Raw genomic sequence first — 8,474 nt, 5'->3', positions numbered from 1 at the left:
CTTGAAAAAGTCTACTTAACACCCAACATCCATTCAGAATCTTTTTTATTTTCCCCAAACCCATAAAAGCCAAGCAGCTGGTGGCATATATTCTCCTTGAGGATCTACTAGAAAGTAGATGGGAGGTAGGATAAGTGCAAATCACCCCAGAAATGTCTCCTTCGATTATTTGAACAGAAAAAAATAATACGTGATAAAGAGGAACAATTTGCTTGACAGTGTATTTTCACACCTTTGGAGGAAATTTGCATTGTCTTGATTCCATAGCAATATTTGACTCTCATATCAAATGAGTAGTATGATTCTGAAGATGCTGTAGAGTAACTCCCCCTAGGATCTGTGTAACATTTAAACCTGACAAAACATTCAATGTTTTATTTGTGGCAGAGGTGTACCAGAGCAGCCACAAAGATTGTGAAAAAGTATAATATCTTTAGTTTCTCCCAATAAAAGGAAAAAAAAGTGTGTCAATTTACATTAGTTTTGTTCCTATCAGTGAACATACTGCTGCCAGTTATTGCAAATACATATTCACCAGACATATACAAGCAAACACATAAACTCAAAAACTCAGAATGCCAAAGCATTAATATAATGATAGTAAGTAAATATTTTAATTAATTTCAAATTAATAAATCTTAAACATATATTTAAATATTGTAGTCAAATTTCTACAGGGATTCAAATTATAATTAGAAGTTTGACTGATAAAAGTGAAATAAGAGACAGGCAGTCTGATTATATGGTGTTAATGACTCATCTCGGCAAAACATGGACATCTATTATTTACATTCCGTGATTATCTAAATACATACTTCATGATTATGTTCATGGAATCTCCCATTGGAAGTGTTAAAGATAAAATATTCTGCTGCAGTCTACAAGTTTGAAAAACTCTGATTTGGTGAATGTTATTTTCAGCAGGCAAACTGTCTTCCTTAATCTGTCCCATGGTTCATGGCATGGAGAAGCCATGCTAGATAAACTACATACTTCCACAAATGAATTTCAAATACTTCATTTCTCAGGATCAACAAACAGTTACTTAGTGGATAGGGGAGGGAGGGTTCATTCTTCCAAATATGAGTTCTAAAAGAAAATATTAATATATCTTCAAAGTGAATATAAACTTTCAGATTTCCAAAATAAACATGAAGTTTTATCTCCTCTCTCTTTAACCTTTATATTTTTCTATAGTGCCTGAAAGCTAGGTAGAGGCCAAGGGAAATCTTTCGCTTTGCCCTCTGAAGTTTCACTGACAAATCAACTCACAAAAAACAGATTCACAGGAGAAATGGCATAAACATTGATTAGCACGCATAGGGAAGAAATACCGTGCACAGATAGATGATCCAACCTGCAATAGGCTACAGATAGTTACGTGATCTTATTCTTAGGGGAAATGAGAATGGAGAAATGAGGATGATTTTAGAAGTGTTCTTTAGGGGAATTATGGGCTTGAAGAATACACAATGGCCTGGGACACAGTCTGTTGGGCTTGCAGAGCAGACAATGGTTTGTGACAAAAGTCTGCCCAGGTGTGTTGACAGACCTATTGTCTTTCTCCCTATGATATGAGTTTAGTTAACGAAAACTCAGGGAAGGGATCAGAGATGATTGTTTCCTTCTTTGGCGTGTCCGGACATTAGGCAAATAAATGAACTTCAGAGAAAAACTTCTTCCTGTGCTTAGGGAGGGACTGAGAACTAAGAGACAAGAGGTGGGAGTTGGTGGGGAGGAGGGTAGATGGTGAGAGAGAACTTGAGACTTCTTCAGTTCAGCATGTCAAAGTGCGATATTTTGGGGTATCTGTTTCTGAGCCCCAACAGCTATATAATTCAAACTTGTACTGTAGAATACATTATTTCTTCATTTAGAAAATAACTAACAATTCAATTCTAGCTTTTTAAATTAAAGTTTGTTTTAGTGGCAGAGTCATGTCTCATGATGGCTGTTAGAGTTTGTCAAGTGCTTTTCCAATGCCAATTAATATAATCATATTTTTTTCTTCTTTAGCTTGTTGATAGAGTAGATCACATTTGTTGATTTTCAAATGTTGATCCAAACTTCGACCCCTGGATATACTAATTTGTGATGTATAATTATTTTTCCATACTGCTGGATTTGATTTGCTAATATTTGTTTAACGTATTTTTGTGTCTAGATCCATGAGAGATATTGGTCTTTAAATTTTTGTGTTTTGTAATGTCTTTGTCTGGTACATCAGAGAACACTCTCAGTGTCAAGGTAATACTGGCCTCATAAAGCGAATAAGGAAACACATTCCTTCCTCTTTTATTTTCTAGGCGAGAGTATTCAAAATTGTCTTTGGTTGTATGTGTTCGTGGAATTCTCCAGTGACAGTACTTTAACCTAGAGATTTCTTTTTAAAGAAATTTAAATAGCAAATTAAATATCTAATGTTTTGGGGACTTTTTAGATAATTTATGCTATCTTGGTTGAGTTTTGGTAGTTCGTAATTTTTATGGGATGTGCCTATTTCTTTTAAATTATCAAATTTATTACCACAAAAATGTCATTATTCCTGACCAGGCATGGTGGCTTACGCCTCTCATCTCAGCACTTTGGGAGGTCGAAATGGGTGGATTGCTTGGGGCCAGGAGTTCGAGACCACCCTGGCCAACATGACAAAACCCCGTCTCTATTAAAAACACAAAAATTAGCCGAGTGTGGTTGTTCATGCCTGTAATCCCGGCTTCTTGGGAGGATGAGACATGAGAATTGCCTGAACCCGGGAGGCAGAGGTTGCAGTGAGCCAAGATTGCGCCACTGCACTCCAGCCTGGGTTACAAAGCAAGACTCTGTCTCAAAAAAAAAAAGAGAGAGAGAGGGAAAGAAAAGTCATTATTCTTTTATCCTTTTAATGACCGAAGAAGGAATTATTTTTAAATGATGTGCTATGTATAGATGGAATGGAATGTTCCACCAAAGCAATGGCAAACAATTCCATTATGGCAAAATCAACAACAAGACCACATACTTTCTAAACTTGATATTGTCAGAAATATGTATGGGAAGATAAGTCACTTGTGTTTAAGAGGTCTCTGCTTATAAATCTGAATGAAATGTAAAATACAAATTTATTTTTTACTAAAATAGACATATAGTGCTACAGATAATTTAAATTTTTATGATATTTAGCATAGAAATAAAGAGTAAAGTTCTGTGGTGGAAGTATTCTGTTAATTTAAAAGTACTTTCACACATGTAAAAATATATATAAAGTATATACCATTCTGCATGTCCTAGAGGATAACAAGGTTATCTTGATACATGCATCGCTCTTTTCTACTCTACTTACCACCATAAAATAGTCACTATGTATCTTTTGGCATATGTCAGGCAATTTTATAAAATATAGCCTTATTCTATTCCTAAGTTGCTTTCACAGATTTGAGTTAGACTTTTGTTATAATTTAGCTCTCTAAATGCATATTTTTTTCTCACAGCCATCCATTATAAAACACGAAAACCAAAACACTCTCAGTGGTTAGAAATAGAGAGGAATTATCTCAATTTGATCAAGAGTATCTACAAAAAAACCCTACAGCTAGCATTACAGTTAATGATGAAAGACTGAATAATTTCCCCTAAAACTGAGAAAAAGCAAGGATACCCATTCTCACCACTCTTATTCAACATAGTGCTGGAAGTTCTAGCCAGTACAACCAAGTAAATGAAAGAAATAAAAGTCATGCAGAGAGATTAGAAAGGGGAAACAAAACACTCTTATTTCCATATGATATGCTGGCCTTCATAGAAAATCATAAGGAATCTACAAAACAACAAAAACAACAACAAAAGGAAACAAAGCAAAAAACTTCTAGAGTTAATAAGTAAATTTAGCAAGGTTGTAGCATTAAAGATTCTCAACACAAAAATTAATCACATATCTATACATTAAAAACAAATGTGTAGAAATGATATTAAAATCACAATGCTATTTGGAGTTACTCTAAAAGAATGATAAATATTTATGTCTAAAATATTATGTATAGGATCTGTATGTTGACAATACTAATGAAAGAAACAAAAAAGGCCTAAATAAATGGATAGACATATGTTCTTGAATTGGAAGATTCAACATAATAAAGATGTTAATATTTCCCAAATAATCTATAGGTTTAATGTAATTTCTATCAAAGTCCAAGGAAGTTTGTTGCATTACAAAAACAAGATTATTCTAAAAATGTATATAGAAAGACAAAAATCATAATAGCTTAAAACAATTTTGAAAAAGAGTAGAGTGAGAAATATAACTTTTCAATATTTAACTTACTGTATATCTATGTAATCAATAGGAGGAAAGATAGTCTTTTCAACAAAAAATACTGGAGTAATTTGGCATCTGTAGGTTAAAAAAATAAAGTGGTACCTAATCCTCACACTTTATACAAAAATTAACTCAAAATGGATCTGATATTTATATTTAAAATGTAAAACTATTAAAAATGAAATTTTAAAGAAAAATAAGAGCAATTTGTCAAATCTAGGACTAGGTGAATAATTTGCAGACTTGCCATTAAATATGCAATCCATAAAAGAAAATATTGATAAGCTGGACTTCATCAACATTATTATTTTTTCCTCCATGAACCACTTCAAAATATGAGAAAATATTTTCAAACTACTTATTTTGCATAAGATTTGTGTCCATAATATATATGGATCTCAAAATGTAACAGAAAAAAATATCAAAAAGTAAAATGCATAAAAGACATGAACAGGTATTATATCAAAAAGAATATTCAAGAGGAAAACCAGCATATAAAAAGATGTCCAACATCACTATGGAAATCAATATTAAAACAAATGTCTGCAATCAGGTGTTTATCCTGAATATCAGAATTGTTAAAATAAAAAATAATGAGAACAGGAAATGCCACAGTAAGGATGTGGGCAAACTGATCCCTCATAAGTTGCTGGTGGAATGTAAAATAATACTCTACAAAACAATTTGACAGTTTTTTAAAGAAAAACTTAACATGCAACTACCATACAACCAAGCAATGGTACTCTTACACATTTATCCCAGAAGAATGAAAACTCATTTCACACAAAAATCTGTACACAAATTTTAATAGCAGCTTCATTTGTAATAGCCAAAACTTGAAAGCAACTCACATGTCTGGCAGTGAGTGAGTGGTTAAACTGTGGTAGATCCAAATCATTGGACACTAATCAGCAATCAAAATGAATTAATTATAGGTACACAAAACCACTTGGATGCTGGGCGCAGTGGCTCACACCTGTAATACCAGCATTTTTGGAGGCTGAGGTGGGAGGATCACTTGAGGTCAGGAGATCGAGACGAGCCCAGCCAACATGGTGAAACTCCATCTCTACTAATAATACAAAGAAATTAGATGGGCGTGGTCATGGGTGCCCGTAGTCCCAGCTAATTGGGAGGCTGAGGCATGAGAATCACTTGAACCCGGGAGGCAGAGGTTGCAGTGAGCAGAGATCATGCCACTGCACTCCAGCCTGGGTGACAGAGTGAAACTGTGTCAAAAAACAAACAACGACAAGAAAAGCAACTTGGATGAATTGCAAGAGAATTGTGTTAAATTTTAAAAAGCAAGTATCAAAAGGTTATATACTTTAAATACTGTACATATGACTTCATTTATATAAAATTTTTGAGATAACACGTTAGAAATTTGGAGAACAGATTAGTGATAGCCAGGGTTTAAGGAAGGTATTGGGTTTTATGTTAAGCAAAAAAGAGGTAGCACAGACAGCGGGGATGTGATAGTTACATGCACACACATGTAATAAAACTACATAGGTATGTAAAAACACACACAGACAAATGCATATATGTAAAATTGGTGAAATCTAAAAAAGCTCGATGTTCATTTACTGGTTTTGATATTGCACTAAGTTATGAAAGATGTTACCACTAGGGGAAACTGAAGGAAGGTTAGATGGGACCTCTCTATAAAATATTTTTTTCAGCATCCTATGAATTTATATTTACTTCAAAATAAAAAGTAAACAAAACTAATAAATAAAAATATACTATGACATAAAATAGCATGAAATGGAGCAAGTTTAATATGGTACATTTTTATTAAATATGTATTATGACATGTAAAAATAATATCAAAGACTGAAATGTAAAACCTATAACTAGAAACCTTCTACAAGAAAATATAGAAAGACATCTTTGTGGCTTTGGTTCAAAGGAAAGGCAAAATCATTGCAAAATGATAAATTTTGATAAATTGACATTCATCAAAATTTTTAAAATTCTCCTCATCAAATGATACTGTTAAGAAAGGGAAAGTAAAAAGACAAAAACTGAGATTAACCATTTTCTTTTTCTTTTTCTTTTCTTTTTTTTTTTTGAGACAGAGTCTCTCTCTGTCACCCAGGCTGGGTGCACGATCTCGGCTCACTGCAAGCTCCGCCTCCCGGGTTCACACCATTCTCCTGCCTCAGCGTCCCGAGTAGCTGGGACTTACAGGTGCCTGCCACCACGCCCGGCTAATTTTTTTGTATTTTTAGTAGAGACGAGGTTTCACCGTGTTAACCTGGATGGTCTTGATCTCCTGACCTCGTGATCTGCCCATCTCGGCCTCCCAAAGTGCTGGGATTACAGGCGTGAGCCACCGCGACCGGCTTGAGATTAACCATTTTCAAAACACCTATATAGTTAAGAATTTAATATGCACATAACAAATATAGAGAGTAAGCAATGAAAAATAAATAATATGTGAAATGAAAAATGTGTAAAAAGGTGCTTCACCAAAGAAGAGAAACAGATGACATGAAAATATCTTTAAAATATTTAGTCATTAATGAAATGCAAATTAAAATTACTTTTAGATACCAGGCATAGCTATTAGAATGGCAAAACTGAAACAAACAAAAATAACAAACAACAAAAATTTAGCTAACAATGCCAAAAATTAGAGGATGTGGAGCACCTGGAACTTTCTTATGTTGCTGATGATAGTGCAGGATGTGAACACCATTTTAGAAATTGGCTGGTTAGTTCCTCCCATTCAAGTACTAACCAGGCCCTGCCCTGCTTAGCTTCCAAGATCCGTGAGATTACATGCATTCAGGATAGCATGCCTGTGGGCTGTTGAGGAGTTTCTTATTAAAATACTGACCATGCAATCTATTACTCTCACTCCCAGCTATTTACTCAAGCAAAATTAAACTGTATTTGCACAAAACCTGTGTTAGAAAAAGACCCAATGTTCATCAAATTGTGGAGGTACACAAGTGTTTTATTCCTAAATGCAACACTACTCAGCAAAAAAAATAATAACAAACAACAAACAAATAAATGGCACTACTGAAACAATTGACAAAATTGATATTTTTCGAATGAATTATGCTAACAGAAAGAAGCCAAAGATAGGAGGATTTATACTGAATGGTTCCATTTATATGATATTCTGAGGAAAAAGGCAAGATTCAAGAGATAGAACAGTAATTGCCAGGAATTGAGGGCAGTCAGAAGGAATTGAGTAACAGAGGCCTTAAGCAACTCTTAGGAGTAATGGAAATATTCTATATCTTGATTTGTGGTGGTGGTCACAGATGTAAATGTTTGTTGATACTCAGAATGAATCTAAAAAGGTTTGTTTTCACTGTATGTAAATTATACTTCAAATCCTAGGAGAAATGGCAGTGATGTATGGTTGTCACACATTTTTCAGTGACAAGAACATACATATCTATAAAAAATATACATTGCCATATTATATGGTATATACTACATACATGTGTATCCAATATAATATGTCAGCAATTTTCTAATAGACCTGGCTGGAGGTGAGAAAGGTGCCTTTTGAAGAGATATGTTTGGGATCTCATTGTGATTTCAGTTTGTATCCTTGCCAGCAGAAAAGATGCTGTTTCATCTGAAGAGATGAGGGACGATAGTAAAACAGATTATTCTTATTAATGTGACTTATTTTTCAAAAAACTCTTAAGTTACTAAAGGCTGGGGGAGCTAAGGTTACATACACATCAGAAGGACATTGACTTAATATTGGTTTAAAATTATGGAAAAAAATATATTTTTCCTGTATTAAACTTTCATATTCTCCTGTATGTAATACATCTACCTACAAAAAAGTCTCCAAACAACTGAGTGTCAACTCCTGCTTTCATAATTACCAAAGAAAGCAAGAGTGAGAAAACAGGTTATATAGAAAATCCTGCACTGCGTCCTGCAAATGGTTTCCCTTACAAGATTTAAAATGGCCTTGAAAACATTCCATGGCCTAGTCATGGCTCAGCACACATTTTCAGGCAGATGCATTTCTGTAGTCACAAAAAATTTCAGCCTGAGCTATTGCAGCTCGGCAAATAAGCATTACTGAGGAAATGTCAGTGTTTGTCAGGGTAGTGATGAATTGAAGGGAACTGGATTATTTCAAACTCTAAAAGCTAGCCAAGGCTGGGCACGGTGGCTCACGCCTGTAATCCCA

General features: G+C 34.2%; 1 pseudogene; it reads right to left on the bottom strand.

Moving 5' to 3' along the window:
• RNA5SP318 (RNA, 5S ribosomal pseudogene 318) lies at positions 7,012-7,103 on the bottom strand (annotated as a pseudogene).

Source organism: Homo sapiens, chromosome 10, assembly GCF_000001405.40.
Source record: "Homo sapiens chromosome 10, GRCh38.p14 Primary Assembly".
Taxonomy (NCBI): domain Eukaryota; kingdom Metazoa; phylum Chordata; class Mammalia; order Primates; family Hominidae; genus Homo; species Homo sapiens.
The sequence above is the reverse complement of the archived record's forward strand: the minus strand, read 5'-3'. Positions and strand labels throughout refer to the sequence as shown.